Raw genomic sequence first — 27,607 nt, 5'->3', positions numbered from 1 at the left:
GGTGCAGTGGCTCACACCTGCAATCCCAGCACTTTTGGAGGCCAAGGTGGGCAGATCACTCAAGGTCAAGACTTTGAGACCAGCCTGGCCAACATGGTGAAACTCCTGTCTCTACTAAAAGTATTTTTTTTTAAATTAGCCAGGCATAGTGGCATGCGCCTGTTATCCCAGCTAATTGGAAGGCTGAGGCAGGAGAATCGCTTAATCCAGGAGGCGGAGGTTGCAGTAAGCCAAGATCACACAACAGCACTCCAGCCTGGGCGACAGAGCGAGACTCTTGTCTCAAAATTAAAAAAAAAAAAAGCAAGGGTGAGGGAGAATCAATATTTTGATCATTTGCTTTAATGGTATAATAGCTACAATTAGGAAAATGATACCTTCTTTTGAGCCAACAGTATTGAAGTATCCAGCAGAGAAACCTCCACTAAAGGCCCCGTGGAATCGTTTATACCTTCCTTTTTCATCTCTGACAGTCTGATCCTGAAGAGGGATTGGTTTCTTTGGTCTTTCACCTAAAAAAAAAAAAAAAAAAAGTTTTTTAAATGAAAAAGAGAGGAGATGGTCGGTTCAAATTTAGGGAAAATGTCACTTTTTAAATATCATAAATTGTTTACTTCTTATAATTCAAATATAATCATTTAAATTGTTATTCCTAGACTTTACTGCTTTATATAGCCTAGAAAACAATATATTTTATAAGCTTATGTAATAATGATTGCCCTCTTTTCCCACTAAATTCCATTACAAAACCTGGTCAACATGGCAAAATCCCGGCTCTACTAACAAATACAAAAATTAACCGGGCGTGGTGGCAGACGTCTGTAATCCCAGCTACTTAGGAGGCTGAGGCAGGAGAATCGCTTGAACCCGAGAGGTGGAGGTTGCAGTGAGCCGAGATCACACCACTGCACTCCAGCATGGGAGACACAGCGAGACTTCTCCCCCAAAAAAAAAAAAAAAAATTATAATGTCAGGAGAGTTCCGACAGATGAAACTGAAATCTCCTGGCTTCAAATGAAGGGCGCAGAAGCTGGGGTGGCACTTGGCAAGGAGAGATACACTTCCATACCTCTTCTAGAACGTCACACCATCCCTGAATCCGGCATTTTTCCTTTGGTATTGCCTATTTTCCCCGACTCCTAAGAGTTTCCTTAATTTCTGTGAATCTCCTGATTCCACAGTGTTCTTTAAACCTATTCCTTTTCCTACTTTGTTGAAAGGGCTGGGTTGAGACATCACACAAGCAAGGGAATTTAATCTAATACATTTTAGGCCTAGCCTAACAATTCCTTAGGTTTAAACTCCCAGGTACTATGGCACAAATTACTGCCTCGTTTTATCAACTACAATTCAAAATCCTGAATTTATTTAAATTTTTTTAAAAAATAAAAAAAATCAAGTTATTTTCAAAAGTTCACAAGAGGAAGTAGGTTATACAGTGGTTAAGGGTATGAGTTAAGGGTGAGAGTCACAGTGGAGTTTCAAGCCAACTCCCTTTACTAGTGCTGGACTTTGGTCAGCCTTGACTCTCTGTGCCTCAATTTACTTATCTGTAAAATAGAAATGGCATTAATGGTAACAGCTATTTCATGGAGTTGTTATGCAAATTAAATGCCTATGAAGTACTTAACAAGAAGAGGGAGACACAAGAAATACTTTATTTATTTTTTTTTTTTGAGATGCAGTCTCTGTCACCCATGCTGGAGTGCAGTGGCATGATCTTGGCTCACTGCAACTTCTGCTTCCTGGGCTCAAGTGGTTCTCCTGCCTCAGCCTCCCAAGTAGCTGGGATTACAGGTGTGAGCGACCGCGTCCAGCCAAGAGCCCAGGTTTAAAGACCTAGAGATCTGAATTCAAATCCCCTTCTACTACTTGTTAAGATTTGTCATCAGCCTGGCGCAATGACTCATGCCTGTAATCCCAGCACTTTGAGAGGCTGAGGCGGGTGGATCACCTGAGGTCAGGAGTTTGAGAACAGCCTGGCCAACAGGGTGAAACCCCGTCTCTGCTAAGATACAAAAAATTAGCCAGGCATGGTGGCAGGCAGAACTACTCGGGAGGCTGAGGCAGATGAATCGCTTGAACCTAGGAGGAGGAGGTTGCAGTGAGCCAAGATCATGCCATTGCACTCTAGCCTGGGTGACAGAGTGAGATTCTGTCTCAAAAAAAGAAAAAAAATTTGTCATCTTGAACAAGTTACTTCATCACTCTAAGCCTCAGCCTCCACAACTGTAAAATCAAGGTAATAAAGAAGCCCATCTTTGTAGGGTGGTAACGAGGATTAAATATCATACGTAAACAGCTGAGCACAGTCCCTGGCCATGGGGGAAATCAGTTAATATCAGCTACAATGTCTTTTCCCTCTAAAGGACTAAATTACAACTTGGGTCCCACAACCCAAGATGTTCACCATTTCATGGAAATGCAGTACACACACTACATTACATATATGCACTTGGCATCATTCTTGGCTATGGCAGAGCTTCTCAATCTCAGCATATTTTGTGCTGGAGAATTCTTTGTTGCAGGGGAATGTTCTGTACATTGCAGGATGTTCAGCAGCATCCTGGGCCTATAGCAGCAGCTTATGCCCCACAGGCATGACAACCAAAAAGGTCTCCAGGCATTGCCAACTGTCCCACTGGGCTACGGTAAGAGGGAACAGGTGCTGCCAGTGCTTGGTGCTATTCTTGGTGCTTCTGATCTCAAAGGGGAGATAAGATCTGCAGACAACTGAGTGCAACCTGTGGCGGCAGATGATGAGGGCCAAGCAATGTGGCCAACTAGCTCCCACAGGTCTCCTGAGCAGAAGGCACCACCTCTAACCAGTGACGGAACAACTCCAGAAAGGAGGTGGGTGGCATTTTAGCCAGGCCATGTCCTAATTACTGCTACTAATGACAACTAATTCCTTCCTTTAGTACATATCATCTCATTTATCATACCCTGATAAGGATACTGATTAAGTAACTTCCCTGAGACTCACTGCTAATAAGCACAAAGGTGAAACCAGATCTCAGCTCTGTCTCCAAGCCAGAGATGCCTCCTATACTGTTCCTTCCTCTCATTCCCTGACCAAAATTTCAACGAGCCCCTGGTTGGCTAATGGTTACATTTTTTTTAAAGGGTGGGGGAGTCAGGTGCAGTGGCTCACACCTGTAATCCCAGCACTTTGAGAGGCCCAGGTAGGAGTGGTTCGAGTCATTAGAAGCAGTGGTTTGAGACAAACCTGGGCAACATAGTGACGCAATGTTTAAAATTAGCCGGGCATGGTGGTATGCGCCTATAGTCCTGGTTACTGGGGGCTGGGGGGTGCTGAGCTGGGAGGATCGCTTGAGCCCAGGAGGCCAAGGCTGCAGTGAGCCATAATCATGCCACTGTACTCCCGCCTGGGGGATAAAGCAAGACTGTCTCAAAAACAAAAACAAAAAGTTGATGAGGGCCTTGCCATGCAAGCAGCCCTTCTAGAGCTGGGGTATAGAAAACTGAACAAAACTCTGCTCCCGTTCTCAGGACACTCCGAGCCCAGCAGAGAAGACCTGCACGTACTGGAGCACTTCTGACAATGAGAAGGTCTGCAACATCAGCCACCGTTAGGAATAAGCAGAATTTTGATAGCTGCAGATAGGGACACAGAGCCACTGACTCCCACCAGTAAACAGAAGGAGGGATAAAAGGGCAAAGTCGCTGGGCACAGTGGCCCACGCCTGTAATTCCAGCACTTTGGGAGGCCGAGGCGGGCGGATCACCTGAGGTCAGGAGTTCAAGACCAGCCTGGCCAACATTGTGAAACCCCGCCTCTACTAAAAATACAAAAATTAGCCGGGCGTGGTGGCATGCGCCTGTAAGCTCAGCTACTCAAGAGGCTGAGGCAGGAGAATCGCTTGAACCTGGGAGGCGGTGGTTGCAGTGAGCAAAGATCGTGCCATTGCACTCCAGCCTGGGAGGCAGAGCAAGACTCCATCTCAAAAAAAAAAAGAAAAAAAAAAAAAGGGCAAGGTCAGGTGTATTGAGAAAGTCCAGTCTAACGGGAGGCCAAGGAATGAGCGGAAGATGGAACCAGAAAGGCGGACAGTGCAGGGGGCCTTGAACATAGTGCTGCAGGGTTTATAGTGTGTCCTGGGGGCGAGGGAAGCCACGGTTAGTTTTAAGTGTGAGAGTCACAGCATCAAGGAGGAGAAAATTGGCCCTAAAATTAATCTGGGTATAGAATGAGCTGTAGATAAGAATTCTAGAACCAAGTGGAAGTGTCTAAGGAAAGAATAGGTAAGTATCTGGCCCCCTTCTTTCCAGATTAGAAGGCCTATGTGTCTATAAAGTTCAGCCACTGTCACTAGGCTCCCTGGTTAACTCTTAACTAATAAACCTTTCTGTCAGGGCCAGCAACTTTAATTAAAATGGAGTTCTCCTCTACCAATGCCTGTCTAACCTGTCACTAAAACTTCAAAGCAGGGAGTAAAAATAATTATTAGTCTAGTGTGTTATATCGTAAAATACAGACAGAGTGCATTTAAATTTCAAAGTGCTTAGAAAACTGGCTGGGCATGGTGGCTCACGCCTGTAATCCCAGCACTTTGGGAGGCCGAGGCAGGCAGATCACCTGAGGTCAGAAGTTCGAGTCCAGCCTGGCCAACGTGGTAAAACCCTGTGTCTACTAAAAATATAAAAATTAGCCGGGCATGGTGGTGGGCACCTATAATCCCAGCCACTCGGGAGGCTGAGGCTGGAGAATCTCTTGAACCTGGGAGGCAGAGGTTGTAGTGAGCCGAGATCGCACCATTGCATGCCAGCCTGGGTGACAAGAGCGAAACTCTCAAAAAAAAGTGCTTAGAAGACAATGAATCAATCCTCAAAAACTTGTATTACTGAGAAGTTAAAGAATGTTTTTAGTCCAGAAAAACAAAGTCTACAAATCCATGTCCTTTCCTTCCACTTCAAAAGCAAGGTTGGGGGCCACATGCAATGGCTCACGCCTGTAATTCCAACACTTTGGGAGGTGAAGGCAGATGGATTGCTTGACCTAAGGACTTCAAGACCAGCCTGGCCAATATGGCGAAACCCTGTCTCTACTAAAAATACAAAAATTAGCCAGGCGTAGTGGAATGTACCTATAATCCCAGCTACTTGAGAGGCTGAGGCAGGAGAATCGCTTGAACCTGGAAGGCGGAGGTTGCAGTGAGCCGAGATCGCGCCACTGCACTCCAGCCTGGACAACAGAGCGTGACTCTGTCACAGAAAAAAAAAAAAAACAAAAACATGGTTGGGGCCAGGCGTAGAGAGTCACGCCTATAATTCCAACACTTTAAGAAGCTGAGCTGGGAAGACTACTTGAGGCCAGGAGTTCAAGACCAGCCTGAGCAACATAGAAGGATCCCATCTCTATTTTTTTTTTTTTTTTTTTTGAGACAGAGTCTCGCTCTGTCGCCCAGGCTGGAGTGCAGTGGCGCCATCTTGGCTCACTGCAAGCTCTGCCTCCCAGTCTCACGCCATTCTCCCGCCTCAGCCTCCCGAGTAGCTGGGACTACATGAGCCCCCCCCCACCACGCCCAGCTAATTTTTTTTTGTATTTTTAGTAGAGACGGGGTTTCACCGTGTTAGCCAGGATGGTTAGGATCTTCTGAATTCGCGATCTGCCCGCCTCGGCCTCCCAAAGTGCTGGGATTACAGGCGTGAGCCACCACGCCCGGCCTCATCTCTATTTTTAAAATAAAAAATGTTGGGCACTGTGGCTCATGCATGCAATCCAGCACTTTGGGAAGCCAAGGTGAGAGCATCGCTTGAGGTCAGGAGTTTGAAACCAGCATGGTCAACACAGCAAGACCCTGTCTCTATAAAAAAAGAACTTGGGATAGTGAGTGTAGAACAGAGATGTCTTAAGAAAATGCAACAGCTGACTTCAAACACATAAAAAGCATTCGGAAGACTAGCCTTTCTCAGCCTTTTGTTTCGTTTGTTTGTTTGTTTGTTACAGACAGAGTCTCACTACAATGCCCAGGCTGGTCTCAAACTCCTGACCTCAAGCAATCCTCCCACCTCAGCCTCCCAGAGTGCTGGGATTACAGGTGTGAACCACTGTGCCTGGCCCCTTTCTCAACCTTTTGTAAGCCGAGGGTAGAAGAAGGGCCAGTATCCAGCAGAAGTTTCCACCAGAACTGTTTGTAGGAAATAAAGGGGGCATAAGTGGAGATATCCCAGAAGTACAATCAACCTGGCAGGATGTGGTCAGGGTGAAAAAAGGGAGGGGACCCCCACCAACAGGAGGTCTGCAAATAAATTGTGGCCCAATGATTCCACCATTCTTCCTCTGCCTTCCCTACAGGGCTAGCACAGCCAACAGCCCTTACTGGACACTCAATACATAACTTGCTGAACAAGTCAAGTCGTTAAGTGGAACAGACCAGAAACACAGGAGAGAACCTTGATTCATCTTGCCCCTCACCCCCACATTCCACCAGCAAGTATGGTCAGCTCTGCTTTCAAAATATATCTCCACCCAGACCACTACACACCACCACCACTGCTGTCCCATCCATGCCACCATCATCTCCTGACCTCTTTTTGCTAATCTCCCTGCTTCACTCTTACCCATCCCCAACCAGTGTATTCTCAACATCAAAGATAGAATAACATTAAAAATTGGCCGAGCACAGTGGCTCAAGCCTGTAATCCCTGCACTTTGGGAGGCAGAAGCGAGAGGATCACTTGAAGTCAGGAGTTCAAGACCAGCCTGGGAAACAGAGCAAAACCCTGTCTCTAAAAATCATATATATATCCCTCCCTGTGTAATTTCCCATGACCCTAACCCTAACCCTAATCCTGCACTTAGTACAAGATCCAAACTCTTTACCCTACCAAGTAAGATCCAGCCCCTGTCAGCCCCTCTGACATTCTTTTCTACCTGTCTCCCCCGCTGTCATCTGCTGCAACCATACCCGTCCTGCCTGCCCCTCAATTTCCTAAACTGGCTCCCACTTCAGGGCCTTTGCCACTTTATGTTCCTTCTGCCTGAAATGCTTTCCCTCCAGATTTGCTCATGGTTGTTTTCTTCCTCGGTTTCAAGTCTGAGCTCAAACGTCCTCTCTCGGGGAAGACACTGCCTGAGCACCCCCCGCTCTCACACTAGCTATTCCGTCATTTTCTTGTTTCTATCTCGCCGCCCCCTTGTTCGGCCACGCTTGTGTCTCCCGTCCCTGTAAACCTCTCTCTGTCGCTGCAGAAGGTGAGCACCCCGAGAGCGCGGCTAACGCCTCCCTCGTCGCCGTGTTCCCAGCGCTGGGAACGATCTAACAATGGTCCAGCACCGACTTGTGCTTTTGTGGCCCGAATCCTGGGCCCTTGGCCTGTTTTCCACAGGCTCCGCCGGCCCACGCGGCCCGCACCTTCTTCCAGAGGCTCCAGCCCGGTCCCATAGCTGACCAGATCTTCTTCGCTGTCACTGTCCCGCGCCGCCATCCTGCTCTTCCGGGCCCCGCCCCCTCGCTACGGCGGCCTTGGCAGGCCAAACGCCTTTCCTCTTTCTCCTCCGCGAACCCCGGTGATGCTGGAAGGCTGGGTCCGCGGGCGGGGGAAGGTGTCCTAGCGGCCCGAGCCTGCGCTCCGGATTCTCAGGCCCATCCTGTGGTAGGCCGTCCCAGGCAGGAGTTGCCTCGGAGGATTTGGCAGCCACGACATCCCATCCTAGCCCCGCGATGTGCGGGTGAGGAGGAGACTCCTGGCATAAGCTGGAAGCCACCCAACTGTTCCCTGCGAGGCGACACCGATGCCTGCCCAGCCCCCTACCCCCGTCCCTCGCGCCAGCCCCCTGCCTTGGCAGCAGTCACTGCCCAGCCCCGTCCACTCCCACCGCCCACCCAGCCACCTCCAGGGAAATGGCTGAGCTCCCAGATTTCATGCTCGCCCCGTGGGGCTTCGCTTTATTTTTATTATTATTATTTTTTACTTTTATTTTGGGTTCAGGGGTACATGTGCAAGTTTGTTATATAGGTAAATTGCATGTCGCAAGGGATTTGGGTTACAGATTATTTCCTCCCCAGGTAATAAGCATAGTACCCAATAGGTAGTTTTTCCGATCCTCACCCTCCTCGTACCTTCCACCCTCAAGTAGGTCCACCCTCAAGTAGGCCCTGGTGTTATTCCCTTTTTTTTTTTTTTTTTTTTTGAGACAGAGTCTCGCTCTGTCGCCCAGGCTGGAGTGCAGTGGCCGCGATCTCAGCTCACTGCAACCTCCGCCTCCCAGATTCAAGTGATTCTCCTGCCTCAGCCTCCTGATAGCTGGGATTATAAGCGTCCACCCCACCACGCCCTGCTAAATTTTTGTTTGTTTGGTTGGTTGGTTGTTGTGGTGGTTTTTTTTTTTTTTTTCTTGAGACAGAGTTTCACTCTTGTTGCCCAGGCTGGAGTGCAATGGCACGATCTCGGCTCACCTCAACCTCCGCCTCCCGGGTTCAAGCGATTCTCCTGCCTCAGCCTCCCTAGTAGGTGGGATTACAGGCATGCACCACTATGTCTGGCTAATTTTGTAATTTTTTTTTTAGTAGAGACGGGGTTTGTCCATGTTGGTCAGGCTGGTCTCGAACTCCCCACCTCAGGCGATCCATCCACCTTGGCCTCCCAAAGTGCTGGGATTACAGATGTGAGCCACCGCACCCGGCCATTTTTTTTTTTTTTTTTTTTTTTTTTTGTATTTTTAGTAGAGACTGGGTTTCACCATGTTGGCCAGGCTGGTCTTGAACTCCTGACCTCAAGTGATCCACCCGCCTCGGCCTCCCAAAATGCTGGTATTACAGGCGTGAGCCACTGCGCCTGGCACCTGTCATTCCCTTCTTTATGTCCATGTGTGCTCAATGTTTAGCTCCCACTTATACGTGAGAACATGCAGTATTTGGTTTTCTGTTCCTGCATTAGTTTGTTTAGGATAATGGCCTCCAGCTGCATCTATGTTGCTGCAAAGGACATGGTCTTGTTGTTTCTTTTTTTTTTTTTTTTTGAGACGGAGTTCGCTCTGTCCCCCAGGCACGCCATTCTCTTGCCTCAGCCTCCCGAGTAGCTGGCACTACAGGCGCCTGCCACCACACCCAGCTAATTTTTTGTATTTTTAGTAGAGGCGGGGTTTCACCGTGTTAACCAGGATGGTCTCGATCTCCTGACCTCGTGATCCGCCCATCTTAGCCTCCCAAAGTGCTGGGATTACAGGCATGAGCCACCACGCCTGGCCAGTCTTGTTCTTTTTTTATGGCTGTGTAGTGTTCCATGGTGTATGTGGACCATATTTTCTTTATCCAGTCCACCATTTGTGGGCATGTAGGTTGGTTCCATGTCTCTGCTATTGTGAGTAGTGCCTCAATGAATATATGCATGCATTTGTCTTTATGGTAGAACAACTTATATTCCTTTGGGTATATACCCAGTAATGGGATTGCTGGGTCTAATGGTAGTTCTGTTTTAAGTTCTTCAGGAAATCTCCCAACTGCTTTCCAGTTGTAATTGTAATTTAATTGTAATTTTCTTTTTTTTTTTTTTTTTTAGTTTATTTTCTTTGTCTAGACAGAGTCTCACTCTGTTGCCCAAGCTGGAGTGCAATGGTGCGATCTCGTCTCACTGCAACCTCCAACTCCTGGGTTCAAGCGATTCTCCTGCCTCAGCCTCCTGAGTAGCTGGGACTACAGGCGTGCGCCACCACACCTGGCTAATTTTTGTATTTTTTTAGTAGAGACGGGGTTTCGCAATGTTGGCAAGGCTGGTCTCAAACTTCTCACCTCAGGTGATCCACCCACCTCAGCCTCCCAAAGTGCTGGGATTATAGGCATGAGCCACCTTGCTCATAGATCCTCTATAGACAGAGGATCTCTGTCTATAGAGACCCTGTCTCTAAGGGGAAAAAAAAAATAAAAAAGATATGAAGCAATTAGCCAGGTTTAGTGACAGTACTTGGGAGGGTGAAACAGGAGGATCACTTGAGCCCAGGAATCAGAGGCCAGCCTGAGCAACATAGCAAGACCCTGTCTCTAACAACAGCAACAAAAAGATATGGGATAATTCATTAACAGCAATACGTAATCAGAAAAACCTATAACCTGTGACAATACTATGAGTATTTTAAACTCCCCATGAGTTATCTGCAACATATGTTGATAAATGAGTTGTGGAATTAAATAATTCAAACTTAAAGCTGTTGGAACTTTATTGTTGATATTATTATTTTTTAGAGGCAGGGTTGGTGTGCAGTGATGCAATCATAGCTCACTGCAGCCTCAAACTACTGGGCTGAGGCAATCCTCCAGCCTCAACATCCCTGGTACTGGGACTACAGGCACCAGCCACCACGCCCAGCTGCTGTTGGAATTGTAAATGATCCTGAAACTTGAGAGGAATGTGGTTATGCAGCATGAATCACATGGCGAGCAGCTGTACCTTCTGCCCCTTTTACCCTAGAAATAACTAAGACCAAACAGGGCAGAGATAAGACTTCCTCAGACGGGTACACCCCTCACAGAGTAATAAAGCAATCTTCCTTGGAAGGTAGCATCCTATAGCTAGTCAAGTCACTGTAAGGATTGTATGTCTCTGCCTATATAAGTGAAACCGTAACTTCTCCACTTTGGAATGCTTTTTTTGTGTGTTTTTGCTTTCGTTTTTGAGACAATATCTCATTTTGACACCCAGGCTGGAGTGCAGTGGCAGGATCATGGCTCACTGCAGCCTTCCTCTCACCTCAGCCTCCCAAGTAGCTGGGACTACTAGTTGACAACGCTCAACTAATTATTTTATTTTTTGTAGAGACCAGGTCTCACTGTGTTGCTAAGGCTGGTCTCAAACTCCTGGGCTCAAGTGATCCTCCCACCTCAGCCTCCCACAGTGTTGGGATTATAGGCGTGAGCCATCGTGCCTGGGCTCCCCTTTGGAATGTTGACCCTATACATTTGGAATTGGTGTTTCTGGGTGGCTATCCTCAAGCTTTGGAATGTTTGAGGATAAATAAACATAGTAAACTATACTTAATCAGGGTGGGTGCAGTGGCGCACGCCTGTAATCCCAGCACTTTGGGAGGCCGAGGCAAGTGGATCATCTGAGATCAGGAGTTTGAGACCAGCCTGGCCAACACGGTGAGACCCTGTCTCTACCAAATGTACAAAAATTGGCCAGGTGTGGTGCCTCATGCCTGTAGTCCCAGCTACTTGGGAGGCTGAGGCATGAGAATCAGTTGAACCTGAGAGATAGAATTTGCAGTGAGTCAAGATTGTGCCACTGCACTCCAGTCTGGGCGACAAAGACTCTGTCTCAAAAAAAAAAAAAAAAAAAGAAAGTAAAGAAAGTTGGGCGAAGTGGCTCAAGTCCATAATCCCAGCACTTTGGGAGGCCATGTAAGGAGGATCACTTGAGCCCAGGAGTTCAAGACCAGCCTGGGTAACATGCCAAAACTACCTCTACAAAAAATACAAAGATTAGCCAGGCATAGTGGTGCGTGTCTGTAGTCCCAGCTACTCCAGAGGCTGATATGGGAGAATCAATTGAGCCCCAGAGGCAGAGGCTGCAGTGAGCAGAATTTGCGCTACTGCACTGCAGCCTGGGTGACAGAATGAGACGCTGTCTCAAAGAAAAAGTAAAAGAAACCGGGTGCAGTGGCTCACGCCTATAACCCCAGCACTCAGGCAGATAACCTGAGGTCAGGAGTTTGAGACCAGCCTGACAAACATGGAGAAACCCTGTCTCTACTAAAAATGCAAAATTAGCTGGGCATGGTGGCGCATGCCTGTAATCCCAGCTACTCGGGAGGCTGAGGCAGAAGAATCACTTGAACCCAGGAGGCAGAAGGTGCAGTGAGCCAAGATCATGCCATTGCACTCCAGCCTGGGCAACAAGAGCAAAACTCCGTCTCAAGAAAAAAAAAAAAAAAGTAAAGAAAAGAAAAAGTAAAAGAAAGTAAAAAAGATTGGGGACAAATTCATATATTCAGACAAAACACCAAAGTCCATGATTTTATTTCTATATTACTCGTAATTTTCTTACAGCTTGTAGCTTCAAAATAGGCAAAGAACACCCAATAACTTTTTTATTTTATTTTAGTTTATCTTATTTTATTTTATTTTATTTTATTTTATTTTTGAGACTGAGTCTTGTTCTAGCACCCAGTCTGGAGTGGCGGCATCGTGGCTCACTGCAGCCTCCGCTGCCCGGGTTCAAGTGATTCTCCTGCCTCAGCCTCCCGAGTAGCTGAGATTACAGGCGCCACCACGCCTGGCTAATTTTTGTTTTTTCAGTGGAGACAGGGTTTCACCATGTTGTCCAGGCTGGTCTCAAACTCCTGACCTCAAGTGATCTGCCCTCCTCGGCCTCCCATAGTGCTGGGATTACAGGCATGAGCCGCCGCACCTGGCCACCACATAGCTTTTCTTTTCTTTTTTTTTGAGACAGGGTCTCATTCTGTCGCTGGAGTGCAGTGGCACGATCATGGCTCACTGCAGCCTCAACTTCTCCAGGTTCAGGGAGTCCTCCCATCCCAGCCTCCCAAGTAGCTGGGACTGCAGACATGTACAACCATGCCTGGCTAATACTTGTATTTTTTGTAAAGAAGCAATTTTGCAGTGTTGCCCAGGCTGGTCTCAAGCTCCTGGGTGCCAGTGATCCTCCTACCTCAGCCTCTCAAAGTGCTGGGATTACAAGCATAAGCCACCACACCCAGCCCACAAACCGTTCCTTTCTTTCTGTTCTATTTATTTATTTTTTAGAGACAGGGTCTCAGTCTGTCACCCAGGCTGGAGTGCAATGCAGCCTGGAACTCCCGGGCTCAAACAATCCTACTAACCTAGCCTTCTGAATAGCTGGGAATACAGGTATGTGCCACCAAGCCTGGCTAATTTTTCTATTTTTTGTAGAGACGGGGTCTTGCTGTGTTGCCCAGGCTGGTCTTGAACACCAAGGCTCAAGTGATACTCCTGCCTTGGCCTCCCAAAGCACTGGGATTACAGGTATGAGCCATGGTGCCTGGCCTCTTATTTATGTATTTATATTTATGGCAAGGTATAAGCCAATATAGGCTTGCTTGCTTTCTTATTCAGACATGCAAGAAAGTGCAAATCTCAGGACCTTATGAGGAAACTGCAGATAGGAAGATGGGCTGAATCACCTGGGCCCAGTGTCATTCCTTCCTCTGGGTCCATGCATGGGTGCTGGCAGTGTGATGGTCACTCATAACATGCACGGAAACCCACCCAATGTGCTTTGAAAACAGTTATCACTCTTTTTTTGTTTTGTTTTGTTTTTGTTGTTGTTGTTTTTGAGACCGAGTCTTGTTCTGTTGCACAGGCTACAGTGCAGTGGTGCGATCTCTGCTCACTGCAACCTCTGCCTCCTGGGTTGAAGTGATTCTCCTGCCTCAGCCTCCCGAGTAGCTGGGATTACAGGCACCTGCCACCACACCTGGCTAGTTTCTTCCCATTTTTAGTAGAGACGGGGTTTCATCATGTTGGTCAGGCTGGTCTTGAACTGACCTCAAATGATCTGCCCTCCTTGGCCTCCCAAAGTGCTGGGATTACAGGCGTGAGCCACCGCACCTGGCCAGTATCACTCATTTTTATCATTGTTTTCCTTTTTTTTTAGATGGAGTCTTGCACTGTTACCCAGGCTGGAGTGTAGTGGCGCGATCTTGGCTCACTGCAACCTCCGCCTCCCAGGTTCAAGCGATTCTCCTGCCTCAGCCTCCCGAGTAGCTGGGATTACAGGCGCCTGCCACCACACCCAGCTAATTTTTTGTATATTTAGTAGAGACGGTGTTTCACCATGTTGGCCAGGCTGGTCTCAAACTCCTGACCTTGTGATTCTCCCGCCTCAGCCTCCCAAAGTGCTGAGATTACAGGCGTGAGCCACTACGCCCAGCCCATTATTTTCCTTTTTAAAATATAACATGTATGTTCAGTAGGACATGGACTAAAATTTAAGAAAATTAAAAAAAAATAACGTGCATAAATCATGAGCACATGGTTCTATGCATTTTTGTTGTTTATTTAATTAATTTATTTATTTATTGAGATGGAGCCTTGCTCTGTCACCCAGGCTGGAGTGCAGTGGCGCCATCTCAGCCTACTGCAACCTCCCCACCTCCCAGGTTCAAGCGATTCTCCTGCCTCAGCTTCCTGGGTTGCTGGGACTACAGGCATGTGCCACCATGCCTGGCTAATGTTTTGTATTTTTAGTAGAGATGGGGTTTCACCGTGTTAGCCAGGATGGTCTCCATCTCCTGACCTCGTGATCCGCCTGCCTCAGCAATCCCAAAGTGCTGGGATTACAGGCATGAGCCACCGCGCCTGGCCCTAAAGAGATAGGGCTACTCGGGAGGCTGAGGCAGGAGAATCGCTTGAACCTAGGAGGCAGAAGTTGCAGTGAGCCGAGATGGTGCTACTGCACTCCAGCCTGGGCGACAGAGCGAGACTCCGTCTCAAAAAAAAAAAAAAAAGAGATAGGGTCTTGCACTCTTGCCCAGGCTGTAGTATAGTAGCGCCATTGCAGCTCACTGCAGCTTTGACCTCCTGGCCTCAAGTGATCCTCTCACTCGGCCTCACAAGTAGCTAAGACTACAGGCGGGCACCATCATGTCCAGCTAATTTGTTTATTAATTGTAGAGAAAAGGTCTCTTTATGTTGCCCAGGCTGATCTTCAGCTCCTGAGGTCAAGCCAATCTCCCGTCTCAGCCTCCTGAGTAGCTGGGATTACAGGCACAAACCACCACACTGGCCTGGTTCTGCGTATTTTCACAAAGTAAGCATATCTGTGTAACAAGTAGATCAAGAAATAGAAAATTTCCAGAATCCCAGAAGCAATAACCCCATAATGGGTTAGTTTTGTCTATTTTGTACTTTATATAAAATGGAGGCTGGGCGTGGTGGTGGCTCACGCTTGTAATCCTAACACTTTGGGAGACCAAAGCAGGTGGATCACCTGAGGTCAAGAGTTCAGGACCAGCCTGGCCAACATGGTGAAACCCCATCTCTACTAAAATTACAAAAAATTAGCCAGGCATGGTGGCACGCGCCTGTAATCCCAGCTACTCAGAAGGCTGAGGCAGGGGAATCACTTGAACCCGGTGAGTGGAGGTTGCAGTGAGCAGAGATCTTGCCACTTCACTCCAGCCTAGGCGAAAGAGCAAAACACAGTCTCAGGAAAAAAATAAATAAATACAAATAAAATGGAATGATACAGTATTTGTGTCTAGTTTTCTTTGCTCAATAATATTTTTGTGACATTTATCCATGTTGTTGCACATAATAGCAATGTGTTAATTTTCATTGTGTGCAATTTTCTATTGTGTGAATATACCACCATTCACACTCATTTGTTCTATAGTGGATTGGCATTTGGGTACTTTCTAGTTAGAGGCTTTTTTTTTTTTTTTTTGGTTTTCAGAGATGGGGTCTCACTATGTTGCACAGGCTGGTCTCAACACCTGGGCTCAAACGATCCTCCTACCTCTGCGTCCCTAAGTGTTGGGATTACTGTCGTGAGCCACCGCATTTGGCCACGCTATTTTGAATAGTGCAGCTGTGAATATTCTGATTCCTGTTTTATAGTAAATAGATGTATGCATTTCTGTTGTGTATCTACCTAGAGTTGGAATTTCTGGATCATAAGTTGCATGCATATTTTCTTTTTTTTTTGAGATGGAGTTACACTTTTGTTGCCTAGGCTGGAGTGCAATGGCATGATCTTGGTTCACTGCAATCTCTGCCTGCCGGGTTCAAGTGATTCTCCTGCCTCAGCCTCCCGAGTACCTGGGCTTACAGGTATCCACCACCATGCTCAGCTAATTTTTGTATTTTTAGTAGAGACAGGGTTTCACCATGTTGGCCAGGCTGGTCTTAACTCCTGACCTCAAGTGATCCACCCACCTCGGCCACCCAAAGTGTTGGGATTACAGGCATGAGCCACGGCACCTGGCCCACATATATTCTTTAGTAGCAAATGTCAAACAATTTTCCAGTGTGGTCATCCCAATTTACACTCCCATAAGCAATATATGAGATTCCACAGTCTCACCAGTACTTGGTATTGTTTGCCATCCCTGTAATTCATTTATTCTTTATTTATTTTTTTATTTTTTTTGAGACAGAGTCTCACTTTGTCCCCCAGGCTAGAGTGCAGTGGCACCATCTGGGCTCACTGCAGCCTCCACCTCCCAGGTTCAAGCAATCCTCCTGCCTCAGCCTCCCAAGTAGCTGGGACTACAGGCACGTGCCACCACACCTGGCTAATTTTTGTATCATTTGTAAAGATACAGTTTCACCATGTTGCCCAGGCTTGTAATTCATTTATTTTTAATCCACAATCACTTCCTCCCTATATGTCAAAACACTTTTCCTTTTAAGTACTAGGGAAGAGTGTAATACAGTATAGTGTATAGCATAGCATCAGACAGCCCTGACTCTGCCACTTAGGAGGCTGGTGACCTCTGAGGCTCAGCTTCCTTCTCTGTAAAAAGGGGATGATAAAGTACCTACCTCACAGGGTTGTGGGAGAACTGAGCTAATGCATGCAGTGTACTTAGGACAGCACCTGGCACGGAATAAGTATGCAGGAAATGACAGCTATGTGTAAGAATTTATTGTAGACTGGGCGCGGTGGCTCACGCCTGTAATCCCAGCATGTTGGGAGGCTGAGACGGGCGGATCACTTGAGATCAGGAGTTCGAGACTAGCCTGATCAATATAATTTAGCCTGACTAAAAATACAAAAATTAGCCAGGCATGGTGGTACATGCCTAAGATCTCAGCTACTCGGGAGGCTGAGGCAGGAGAATAGCTTGAACTCAGGAGGCAGAGGTTGCAGTGAGCTGAGATCACACCACTGCACTGCACTCCAGCCAGGGGGACAGAGCAAGACTCCATCTCGAAAAAAAAAATATGTATATATATATTTAGTAAAGTGGGGAAAACTGAGACTGTGAGGGCCAAAAGGGTGTGGCTAAGGGGACTTTGAGCCTGCTGAACTTGATGTGGTCCTCTCTAGTTGGTGTTCCTCCATGGCACCAAATGGCTTAAATTTCTGAGAATTTTAATTTTTTTTTTTTTTTTTTTTTTTGAGACGACGTCTCACTCTGTCGCTCAGGCTGGAGTGCAGTGGTGCCATCTCAGCTCACTGCAACCTCCACCTCCCGGGTTCACGCCGTCCTCCTGCCTCAGCATCCTGGGTAGCTGGGACCTTACAGGCGCATGCCACCACACCTGGCTAATTTTTTGTATTTTTAGTAGAGACGGGGTTTCACCGTATTAGCCAGGATGGTCTCGATCTCCTGACCTCGTGATCCACCCACCTCAGGCTCCCAAAGTGCCGGGATTACAGGTGTGAGCCATCGCGCCTGGCCAATTTTTTTTTTTTCTTTATAAGACAGTATCTTGCTCTGTAGCCCAGGCTGGAGTACGGTGGTGTAATCTTGGCTCACTGCAGTCTTGAACTCTTGTGCTCAAGAAATCCTTCTGCCTCAACTTCCTGAGTATCTGGAACTGCAGGCATGTGCTACCACTCCTGGCTTTTTGTGTGTGTGTGTGTGATGGAGTCTCACTCTGTTGCCCAGGCTGAAGTGCAGTAGTGCGATCCTGGCTCACTGCAACCTTCATCTCCTGAGTTTAAGAGATTCTCTTGCCTCAGCCTCCTGAGTAGCTGGGATCACAGGTGCCCACCACTAAGTCCAGCTAATTTTTTGCATTTTTAGTAGAGACAGGGTTTCACCATGTTGGCCAGGCAGGTCTCGAACTTCTGACCGCAAGTGATCCCTCCGCCTCAGCCTCCCAAAGTGCTGGGATTACAGGCGTGAACCACTGCGCCCGGCCACTCCTGGCTAATTAATTAAATTTTTTTGTAGAGATGGATGTTTCAGTATGTTGCCCAGGATGGTCTTGAACTCCTGGGCTCAAGTGATCCTCCTGCCTTGGCCTCCTAATGTGCTGGGATTACAGGTGAGAGCCACTGGGCCTGGTAATTTCTAAGAATTATTTTTACAAAAATTGCAAAATGGGCCAAGCATGGTGGCTCATGCATGTAATCCCAGCACTTTGGGAGGCCGAGGCAGGTGGATCACCTGAGATCACGAGTTCAAGACCAGCCTGGCCAACATGCTGAAACCCCATCTCTACTAAAAATACAAAAAATCAGCAAGGCGTGGTGGTGCGCGCCTGTAATCCCAGCTATTAGGGAGGCTGAGGCAGGAGAATCACTTGAACCTGGGAGGTGGAGGTTGCGGTAAGCTGAGATCGTGCCACTGCACTCCAGCCTAGGCAACAGAGGGAGACTCTGTCTCAAAAAAAAAAAAAAAAAATTGCAAAGTTGAGTTTACTATTTGCAGTGAATTTTATTCATTCAAGGATTATCTTATAATTTCTGCATTTAATTTGGCAAACTTCATCAGATTCCCCAAGAGAGGATGTTATTTCAGGCTGCCCTCAAAAACCAACATTCCTTTGTCAACAAGAAGGTCTTAGGACGTGACACTTGAATTTTACTTGGAGGAACTGGGTCCCTGGACAGGCACCCAACTGGGTCCCTGGACAGGCACCTGCTGACCTAAACCAGATGGTAAAATGAGACTTAACAAAACAGTTGTTTGCAGTTGAGATTTTAATCTTTTGCATAGCTCAGAAGTTCCCACCCAACTCTTTTGTTAGTAGCACAGGGGCTCATGGGTGGTTCTTGTTGCACAGACCACCAATGGGGTTGACAAATAGGAGGTGAGATGCTGCTGTCCTGTTGGGTCAGCGGCGGCAGTTCTAATTGCCTGGTCAAAGTGGGATCAGAGATAAAAGAACAGACCTGTGGGTACCAGTGCAATGAGTCATGAGAATGTCTAAAGATGTCTGGTTCTGCGCAGATGTAGCCCCAAGCACTGACACTCAGATGGCTCACATGGCCAGGAAATGCCCCGCTGGGACTTACACAGAGAGGAGCCCGTTTTCCTCTGAAGATGCTCAGGAGGTAGTCTTTGGGTGGGCTGGTGTGTGTTTAACACCACGCGTCCTTTTCTTACTCTTCATCCTTTTTATTTTTTACATTATTTATTTATTTATTTACTTACTTATTTGAGACAGAGTCTTGCTCTGTTTTCCAGGCTGGAGTGCAGTGGCGCAATCTGGGCTCACTGCAACCTCTGCCTCCCGGGTTCAAGTGATTCTCCTGCCTCAGCCTCCTGAACAGCTGGGATTACAGGCACATGCCACCATGCCCGGCTAATTTTTGTATTTTTAGTAGAGACGGGGTTTCACCATGTTGGTTAGTCTGGTCTCAAACTCCTGACCTCCTGATCCTCCTGCCTCGGCCTCCCAAAGTGCTGGGATTATAGGCGTAAGCTACCACGCCTGGCCTATTTATTTATTTATTTTATTATTACTATTTTCTTGAGACGGAGTTTCGCTCTTGTTGCCCAGGCTGGAGTGCAATGGCGCGATGTTGGCTCACTGCAACCTCTGCCTCCCAGGTTAAAGCAATTCTCCTGTCTCAGCCTCCTGAGTAGCTGGGATCACAGGCCTGTGCCATCAGGCCCAGCTAATGTTTTGATTTTTTAGTAGAGACGGCGTTTCACCATGTTGGTCAGGCTGGTCTCATACCCCTGACTTCAGATTATCCATCAGCCTCGGCCTCCCAAAGTGCTGGGATTACAGGCGTGAGCCACCGTGCCCGGCCTATTTATTTATTTTTAAACAGGGTCTTGGTCTGTTGCCCAGGCTGGAGTGCAGTGGCAACGATCATAGCTCACTGCAGCCTCCACCTCCTGGGCTCAAGGAATCCTCCTGCCTCAGTCTCCTGAGTAGCTGAGACTACAGGCATGCGCCACCATGCCTGGCTGTTATTTTTATTTACTTATTTATTTGAAACAGGGTCTTACTCGTGTCACCCAGGCTGGAGTGCAGTGGTGTGATCTCGGCACTCCAGCCTGTGCCTGGTCTCTTCTTCCTTTTTAACAAAAGGAACAACTCAAAAAGGCAATGATATCTGGCTAGATTTAATAATATATTTTGCCCTTTATTGTATTCACTTTTATGTTTCTCCTCTAACAGGGAAAGTATCACTGGTTTTCCCCTTATGGTTGTGATATAGTTGCCTTTTAAAATAAAATTTGGGCCAGGCACAGTGACTCATGCCTGTAATCTCAGCACTTTAGGAGGCCAAGGCAGGAGGATCACTTGAGCCCAGGAGTTTGAGAACAGCCTGAGCAATATAGTGAGACCCCATCTCTACAAAAATTTAAAAATTAGCCAAGTTAGTGGTGCACACCTGTTGTCCCAACTACTTGGGAGGCTGAGGCAGAAGAATCCTTCAAGTCCAGGAATTGGAGGCTGCAGTGAGCTATAATCATACCAATGCACTCCAGCTTGGGCAACAGGGCGAGACACTGTCTCAAAAACTAACTAAATAAATTTAATTAATTTGTTTAAATAAAGTAATTTAAAAAAAAGATTATTGGCCAGGCGTGGTGGCTCATGCCTGTAATCCCACCACTTTGGGAGGCTGAGGTGGGAGGATCACTTGAACTCAGGAGTTCCAGCCCAGCCTGGGCAACATGGAGAAACCCCGTCTCTACAAAAAATAAAAAAAAATTAGCCGAGTGTGGTGGGGCATGCCTGTGGTTCCATCTACTTGGGAAGCTGAGGTGGGAGGATCATCTGAGCCCGGGAAACAGAGGTTGCAGTGAGCCAAGATTGCACCACTGCACTCCAGCCTGGATGACAGAACAAGACCCTGTCTTAAAAAAAAAAAAAAAAGATTATTAAGTTAACAGCAGTACAGATGGCATTATGTGCGACAAATTGTAAAGGCAATTTGAGCTTTAAGTTGGCAGAAAAAGATGGCAAAAATCCAAAGGTGGTAGGCAATGACCTCAGCCAGCAAGGGGAGTGCTGGTGGCCACTTCATTGCTCTGAGCCTTGCTCTTCTCATCTGTTGAATGAAGGTTATTGCTTTTATTTGCAGAAGGGTCTCAAGAACGAAACATAGTATCTATAAACTCCCTGGCTAGAGTAGAGGCTCTATTATTGATACGTTTATTAGTATTATGAAGGTAAGAGAGTGGCCCACAACTTCCTGATCCTTGAAACAGTAGTAGCTGTTTACAAGTAATAGTGTGACCTGTGAGTGCTGAAATTAGATTGATAGTTGTTTCTTCTTCTTCTTTTTTTTTAATGTAATTTTTTTTCCCCGGAGGAGTTTTTCTTCAATCCTCAAGGACTTAGCTCCTAAGGGGCTTTGGTGGAGGTCCTGGGGCAGCACCTGCAGGATTAAATCTGGATGAGGGTGTTCTGTCCTTTCAGGCTACAGGAGCTGAATTCCTGATTACATTTCTGTGACTGGCACAACTCACCCAGTAATTGCAATTACCTTTGGACCAACCCAGTAGCTTCACGTGCGGTTTAGGAAGCGCATAGGCTCGAAGACACTGGCTTCAGAAACGTCCCTGACAGCTGCAACCTCTACTATGTTTCCAATGACTAACGTTTTTTGTTGTTTTGAAACAAGGTCCCACTCTGTCGCCCAGGCTGGAGTGCAGTGGGCAGTCTCAAGGTCTCGGTTTGGCTCACTGCAACCTCCGCCTCCCGAGTTTGAGTGATTTTCCTGCCTCAGCCTCCCCAGTAGCTGAGATTACAGGTGCCCACCACCACGCCTGGCTAATTTTTGTATTTTTAGTAGAGACGGGGTTTCACCATGTTGGCCAGGCCGGTCTCAAACTCCTGACCTCAGGTGATCCACCAGTCTCAGCCTCGGCCTCGGCCTCGGCCTTCCAAAGTGCTGGGATTACAGGCGTGAGCCTCCGCGCCCGGACTTTTTTTTTTTTTTTTTAAAGATATGTTAACGCTGGGCTGGTTTTGCAGCACATTGCATTCTGTTCCACCTGTGGCATCTATCGCGACCGCTGAGGGCGGTCCCTTTGCTGGGGGAGAAGCAGTTGTAACAGTAAGCAGCGGCCGGGAGGAGCATGGCCCGCGGGCTGGGTGTCCCTGCTTAGGTGGCAAGGTCCTGGCTTCACGTGCTGCCAGGCGTCTGCCCACAGAGTCTAGCAGCCAGCAGGAGGTTGGTGGCAGACTGATACAAACCCTGTCCCCATGGGTCACCCTTTCCCTCCTAAACTAAGTTCATCCCTACTTTCCAACACTCACTTTTGTCCTACTGCCCTCCATCAGCCCGAGAAAAAAAGAATCCAAGAATAATAAAAGAGCCCCATTTTGCAGCCTAGAAAACGGAGGTGGTTAAGAACCGTGCTCCACGGCCGGGTGCGGTGGCTCACGCCTGTAATCCCAGCACTTTGGGAGGCTGAGGCGGGCAGATCACGAGGTCAGGAGATCGAGACCATCCTGGAAAACACTGTGAAACCCCGTCTCTACTAAAAATACAAAAAAATTAGCCGGGCGTGGTAGCCGGCGCCTGTAGTCCCAGCTGCTCGGGAGGCTGAGGCAGGAGAATGGCATGAACCCGGGGGGCGGAGCTTGCAGTAAGCCGAGATCGCGCCATTGCACTTCAGCCTGGGCGACAGAGCGAGACGAGTGAGGATCACTTAAGGTCGGGAGTTCGAGGCCAGCCTTGATATCATGGTGAGACCCCGCATCTATTTAAAAACAAAACAAAACAAAACAAAACAAAAGCTGTAATCCCAGCACTTTGGGAGGCAGGCCGAGGTGGGCAGATCACAAGGTCAGGAGTTCAAGACAAGCCTAGCCAACAAGGTGAAACTGTCTCTACTGAAGATTAGCTGGGTGTGGTGGTGGACGCCTGTAGTCTCAGCTACTCGGGAGGCTGAGGCAGGAGAATCGCTTGAACCCGGGAGGCGGAAGTTGCAGTGAGCCGAGATCGCGCCATTGCACTCCAGCCTGGGCGACAGGGCGAGACTCCGTCTCAAATAAAAAAATAAAAAAAATAAATAAAAAGGCCGGGCGCGTTGGCCCGCGCCTGCAGCCCCTGCTACTTGGGAGGCTGAGGCTGGAGCATCGCTTGATCCTGGGAGGTCGAGGCTGCAAAGAGTCGAGATCGCAACACTGCTCTCCAGCCTGGGCGACAGAGCGAGGTCCCATCTCTTAAAAAAAAGAACTGTGCTCAAGGACATCTGCCGTGTCTGGGGCGCAAAACCCCTCCTGGTCCCCTCTCTCAGGGCAGTCCGCGAGCCCAGCGGATCCCACTCGTCTTTGCAGCGCGGACAGGGAATCGGCTGAGTTGATCCCATGCCAACAAGCCCGAGTAGTCCGGGCAAGGCGCTCGGCGGGGCAGTCAACGCTCCCTCCGCCATGGGCTCCCCTCTTGGGAAAAGCTTTTCCAAACCGCCGGGCCCAGGGCCCAGAGCTCCCGCCGCGCCCTCGACGTGGCGTCGAGTCTGGCCCCTTCCCCCGCGGCGCACGGGCTTCACCCAGGAGGGACGCGCCTGGATCCACGCCTTCCTCACTGACTCCCCGGGCTCCAGGGCAGGGTGCAGGTCCACAGCCAGGGCTTCGCTGCGGCCCCTGAGACCCCAGTGCCTTTCCTGCGCTCTCGCGGCACTCGCAAAGTTGAGTCAGCCACGACGCCCACAGACAACCCCGAGGCGCCGCGCCCAGGGCGCAGCTCTCCGGGTGACGAGCGCCTCAAGGGGCGCGGGTTCGGGGCCCGCGACGGGGCGGGGCGCGTCTCCAGGGCTCCAGTGCTCGGCCTCAGGCGGGGCTAGAAGGGCCGCGGGACGGGGTGGGAGTGGAGGGGCGGGGAAGGGCGGGGACAGGGGCGGGGCCGCACGTCCTCTCGGGCCAGCCTCAGCCGCCGCGCCTCAGTCCGCCGTCCGCCCTCCGCGCCCGCGCCGCTAGCATGACCGACGCGCTGTTGCCCGCGGCCCCCCAGCCGCTGGAGAAGGAGAACGACGGCTACTTTCGGAAGGTGGGCGGCTTCGGGCGGGCGGGCGGGGACCTGCGGGCTCCAGACCTCCTTTCCCCCGGGCCCTGCAGGGGCCGTGGGAGCGCGCAGTCGGGGTCCACTAGGCCGGGAGGGGGAGGGGGCGCACTGGGCCGGCGCTGGCCGGACGGAGGCTGGCGGGGAGGAGTGGGGGCGGCGATGTCCCCGGCGTCCCGGGCAGGTGGCATCCGGGACTGGGCGGGGAGTAGGGGAGGCGCATGTGGCCGCTCCGCGCAGGTGCGGGCGGAGGACCTGGAGGGGTGCTTGGGTCTCCCCCCTCCCACCCCCCGCCACCCCTCGCTTGCGATCCCTGGTGCCTGGGGAAAGGACCCGTTCCTGGCTGCGCTGGCGCCCTTGGCCTCTGGGCGCGTTGCAAGAGCGCTTGGTGGGAGCGCGGGTGGAGACAGACCATCCCAGGCGTGTTGGCGGTCTCATATTTATTTTAGGCGCTCTGTCGCCCAGGCTGGAGTAGAGTGGCGCGATTATAGCTCACTGCAGCCTCGACTTCCTGGCCTCCAGCGATCCTCCCGCCCCAGCCTCCCGAGTAACTGGGACTGCAGGCGCGCCACCTCGCCACGCTAATTTTTTGTAGAACTGGGGTATCGCTGTGTTGCCCAGACTGGTCGCGAACTCTTGGGCTCAAGGGATCCTCCCGCCCCGGTCTCTCAAAGTGCTGGGATTACAGGCGTGAGCCACTGCGCCCGGCCGGCGGTCTCTTTTTGCCTCCAAAATGCTTCCAAAGTCCGCCTGTGGGACTTTTCAGGGAGCAGGGGAGAGCTGCTGGTGGGAGGGAGCCTCCGGCGTTGCACCCTCCTCCGCTCCGGGTCGTCCAGGAGGGCGTGAGCACCGCAGGTGAGGCCCACGGTCTTGTGCGTCTCACTGTGTGCCAAAGCGGATTTGTCTTGTTGTCCGGGAGACTTGGCGGGGGCTGGCGGCGGGCGGCGGGCGGCGGGCGGCGGGTGGCGGGTGCCGGCCTCGCAGGTTCTTGGCATGTCCAGGAGCTCTTGGGCCCAGAAGATAACAGTCAGGGAGCTCAGTCCCTCAAAAGCGACCCCAGCCTGTGGAGCAGGGGCCCTGGGATACCCGCAGGCGGCAGGGCCTGGGCTACAAAGATGCTTTGGAGCCGGGAGTCATGGTGATGCCTTCCAAGCCTTCCTCCCTCTAGGTCCTGAGCAAGTCTAAAAATAGCTTTTGGCCCTTGGCCAGGGATCACTGAGAGGGTGGAGAGATTGTTGTTGATTTTCGTTTTTATAATAGATACGACAGTGCATAATTATAAATAGGGAAGTGAAACTTTCCCATAAACGAATCAATTCTTAATTGTTCAAAGCCTTAGGATCCAGTTCTTAAATGGTCTTGGCATCTTCCTCCTTCTCCCAGGTGACACAGAGAGACTGTGGGCTTTGCTCACTGGTGAGGAGCCCTGGGCAGGACAGTGTGGGGCAGAGTGGGAAAACTTCTTTTTTGTGAAGTTGCTTTTAGCATTAAAAAAAAAAAAAGTAGTTTTGAGGTATATTTAAGTTTAAAGATGTCATCATGGAATTACAGGATTATAACTTCTAATTATGTGTGGCGTTTGGGACAGAGGATCACAGGCCATGGAATTGCAGGAGGAGGCCTGGCCTGGGAATTCCTATGTCTGTCCTCGGGCCCCGGGGCCTGACTGCCACTCCCACAAAATTGCTGTGTGGCCTCCCGCAAGTTGCTGCCTCTTTCTGGGACATTTCCTCCCCAGATTGTTCTCTGAGCAGGTGTAGCTCTGGAACTCCAGCAGCACCTGGGGGAAAATGGCAGCAAGAGAAGCACACCTGTGAGGGGTGGTCCCAAGCCTCCCAGAACACATTTTCCTGTGGGAGCCCTCCGTGTCTGTGAGCCCAGGGGAGGACTTCTTGCTCCGCACTGGGAAAGAGTGGATGGCAAGAGAGCTAGGAAAGGTGCACAGTTGGGTGTTTTTCATTTATTAATTATTATTATTATTATTATTATTATTATTATTATTATGAAACAGAGTCTCACTCTGTCGCTCAGGCTGGAGTGCAGTGGTGTGATTTCGGCTCACTGCAACCTCTGCCTCCGGGGTTCAAGCAGTTCTGCCTCAGCCTCCGAAGTAGCTGGGATTACAGGCGCCTGCCACCACACCTGGCTAATTTTTTGTATTTTTAGTAGAAACGGGGTTTCACCGTGTTGCCCAGGCTAGTCTTGAACTCCTGACCTTAAGTGATCCACCTGCCATGGCCTTCCAAAGTGCTGGGATTACAGGTGTAAGCCACTGCGCCCGGCTACAGGTGTTTTTTTTTTTTTCCCCCTGAGATGGAGTCTCGCTCTGTCACCCAGGCTGGAGTGCAGTGGCGCGATCTCGGCTCACTGCAACCTCCATCTACCAGTTTCAAGTGATTCTCCCGCCTCAGCCTTCCCAGTAGCTGAGACTACAGGCGCATATCAACCACGCCTGGCTAACTTTTGTATTTTTAGTAGAGGCAAGGTTTTGCCATGTTGGCCAGGCTGGTCTTGAACTCCTGACCTCAGGTGATCCACCCACCTCGGCCTCCTAAAGTGGGGTGTTTTTTAGATGCAGTTTCTCTGGTGTTGGATGAGAGAATCAGGGGTGCAAAATAAGAGGAATCATTGTTTTACAATTAAAATCATCAATTTTGAAAATGAGACCTTGTAACAATTGTTGTGCTACTCCATGTTAAGTCATACCAGTTCGAAGAGTCTATTTATCCTAGGAAAATAAAAGGTGTTGATGCTGAATCTTTCCTGATCTATGACCTGAGCCAGTTTGACCTAAAGCAAATGAGGGTCGGGTGTGGTGGCTCATACCTGTAATCCCAGTAGTTTGGGAGGCCGAGGCAGGCGGATCTCTTGAAGCCAGGAGTTCCAGACCAGCCTGGGCAACATAGCAAGACCTTGGCTCTATAAAAAATTTTAAAAATAAAAATGAAAACAAAACAAAACCAAATGGCCGAATGAAAGGCAGGTGCTGACCAGGCGTGGTGGCTCACACCCGTAATCCCAGTATTTTGAGATGCTGAGGCAGGTGGATCACTTGAGATCAGGAGTTCGAGACCAGCCTGGCCTACATGGTGAAACCCTGTCTCTACTAAAAATATAAAAATTAGCCGGGTGTAGCGGCAGGCGCCTGTAATCCCAGCTACTTGGGAGACTGAGGCAGGAGACTCGCTTGAACCCAGGAGGCGGAGGTTGCAGTGAGCTGAGATTGTGCCACTGCACTCCAGCCTGGGCAACAGAGTGAGACTCCGTACCCCTGCAACCCAAAAAAAAAAAAAAATCCCAGCACTTTGGGAGGCTGAGTCTAGTGGATCACGAGGTCAGGAGATCGAGACCTTCCTGGCTAACACAGTGAAACCCCGTCTCTACTAAAAATACAAAAAATTAGCCGGGCGTGGTGGCGGGTGCCTGTAGTCCCAGCTACTCGGGAGGCTGAGGCAGGAGAATGGCGGAGCTTGCAGTGAGCCGAGATTGCGCCACTGCCTGGGTGACAGAGCGAGACTCCGTCTCAAAAAAAAAAAAAAAAAAAAAGAAAGGCAGGTGCTGTCCAGGTGAAAGGAGAGAAAGAGCCCTTCAGGAAGAGGGAACAGCTTGGACAGAGCTGTGGACTTGTGAGTGCTTTGTAGGCCCCCCCAGGGTGTGGAGGTGTTTGTGGGAGCCAGGCAGTTCAGGGTCATGCATCTTGCTTGACCTGGGAACTGTGGAATCCATCAAAGTA

At 49.3% G+C, this 27,607-nt stretch overlaps 2 protein-coding genes across 4 annotated transcripts in view, besides 10 other annotated features; one reads left to right on the top strand and one right to left on the bottom strand.

The window, feature by feature from the left end:
- Window positions 1–7,465, bottom strand: part of GPATCH1 (G-patch domain containing 1) — a 49,362-nt gene extending 41,897 nt beyond the window's left edge. For all 3 annotated transcript variants that reach the window (NR_135270.2, NM_018025.3, XM_006723255.5), the window contains exons 1-2: window positions 7,380–7,465; window positions 378–512 (exon numbers count right to left, since the gene is read on the bottom strand). Coding sequence is in view for 2 of the 3 variants with exons in the window: in NM_018025.3 (NP_060495.2) it covers window positions 378–512; window positions 7,380–7,452 (208 nt within the window). In the remaining variant the exon portion in view is untranslated. The remainder of the gene's footprint in view (window positions 1–377; window positions 513–7,379) is intronic.
- Window positions 4,965–5,134: an enhancer, noted in NCBI's record as "experimental_51021 CRE fragment used in MPRA reporter constructs". NCBI's record gives its function as "activates a minimal promoter by MPRAs in K562 erythroleukemia cells, with activity observed for the non-introgressed 19:33574503 or rs7250177 variant allele {active_cell/tissue: K562}" and the evidence as "EXISTENCE:reporter gene assay evidence [ECO:0000049][PMID:34662402]".
- Window position 5,049: a transcriptional cis regulatory region, noted in NCBI's record as "Neanderthal adaptively introgressed variant 19:33574503 (GRCh37/hg19 assembly coordinates) or rs7250177 in the experimental_51021 CRE". NCBI's record gives its function as "modulates activity of the experimental_51021 enhancer by MPRAs in K562 erythroleukemia cells {active_cell/tissue: K562}" and the evidence as "EXISTENCE:reporter gene assay evidence [ECO:0000049][PMID:34662402]".
- Window positions 5,105–5,605: an enhancer, noted in NCBI's record as "H3K4me1 hESC enhancer chr19:33573947-33574447 (GRCh37/hg19 assembly coordinates)". NCBI's record gives its function as "activates a minimal SCP1, AML or CMV promoter by ChIP-STARR-seq in naive H9 embryonic stem cells {active_cell/tissue: H9 hESC(naive)}" and the evidence as "EXISTENCE:reporter gene assay evidence [ECO:0000049][PMID:30033119]".
- Window positions 7,241–7,570: an enhancer, noted in NCBI's record as "active region_14437". NCBI's record gives its function as "activates an Ori minimal core promoter by ATAC-STARR-seq in GM12878 lymphoblastoid cells {active_cell/tissue: GM12878}" and the evidence as "EXISTENCE:reporter gene assay evidence [ECO:0000049][PMID:35858748]".
- Window positions 12,544–12,713: an enhancer, noted in NCBI's record as "experimental_51016 CRE fragment used in MPRA reporter constructs". NCBI's record gives its function as "activates a minimal promoter by MPRAs in K562 erythroleukemia cells, with activity observed for both the introgressed and non-introgressed 19:33566924 variant alleles {active_cell/tissue: K562}" and the evidence as "EXISTENCE:reporter gene assay evidence [ECO:0000049][PMID:34662402]".
- Window positions 22,303–22,472: an enhancer, noted in NCBI's record as "experimental_51002 CRE fragment used in MPRA reporter constructs". NCBI's record gives its function as "activates a minimal promoter by MPRAs in K562 erythroleukemia cells, with activity observed for both the introgressed and non-introgressed 19:33557165 variant alleles {active_cell/tissue: K562}" and the evidence as "EXISTENCE:reporter gene assay evidence [ECO:0000049][PMID:34662402]".
- Window positions 22,724–23,223: an enhancer, noted in NCBI's record as "H3K27ac hESC enhancer chr19:33556329-33556828 (GRCh37/hg19 assembly coordinates)". NCBI's record gives its function as "activates a minimal SCP1, AML or CMV promoter by ChIP-STARR-seq in primed H9 embryonic stem cells {active_cell/tissue: H9 hESC(primed)}" and the evidence as "EXISTENCE:reporter gene assay evidence [ECO:0000049][PMID:30033119]".
- Window positions 23,371–23,870: a silencer, noted in NCBI's record as "silent region_10489". NCBI's record gives its function as "represses an Ori minimal core promoter by ATAC-STARR-seq in GM12878 lymphoblastoid cells {active_cell/tissue: GM12878}" and the evidence as "EXISTENCE:reporter gene assay evidence [ECO:0000049][PMID:35858748]".
- The window catches only part of RHPN2 (rhophilin Rho GTPase binding protein 2), an 86,297-nt gene continuing 82,447 nt past the window's right edge, over window positions 23,758–27,607 (top strand). The window contains exon 1 of the mRNA NM_033103.5: window positions 23,758–23,862. Coding sequence (NP_149094.3) covers window positions 23,794–23,862 — 69 coding nt within the window. The 5' untranslated portion in view covers window positions 23,758–23,793. The remainder of the gene's footprint in view (window positions 23,863–27,607) is intronic.
- Window positions 23,931–24,150: a silencer, noted in NCBI's record as "silent region_10488". NCBI's record gives its function as "represses an Ori minimal core promoter by ATAC-STARR-seq in GM12878 lymphoblastoid cells {active_cell/tissue: GM12878}" and the evidence as "EXISTENCE:reporter gene assay evidence [ECO:0000049][PMID:35858748]".
- Window positions 24,436–25,064: an enhancer, noted in NCBI's record as "H3K27ac-H3K4me1 hESC enhancer chr19:33554488-33555116 (GRCh37/hg19 assembly coordinates)". NCBI's record gives its function as "activates a minimal SCP1, AML or CMV promoter by ChIP-STARR-seq in primed H9 embryonic stem cells {active_cell/tissue: H9 hESC(primed)}" and the evidence as "EXISTENCE:reporter gene assay evidence [ECO:0000049][PMID:30033119]".

Source organism: Homo sapiens, chromosome 19 (assembly GCF_000001405.40).
Source record: "Homo sapiens chromosome 19, GRCh38.p14 Primary Assembly".
Taxonomy (NCBI): domain Eukaryota; kingdom Metazoa; phylum Chordata; class Mammalia; order Primates; family Hominidae; genus Homo; species Homo sapiens.
Note: the sequence above shows the minus strand (reverse complement) of the source record. Positions and strands in the feature narration are given on the sequence as shown.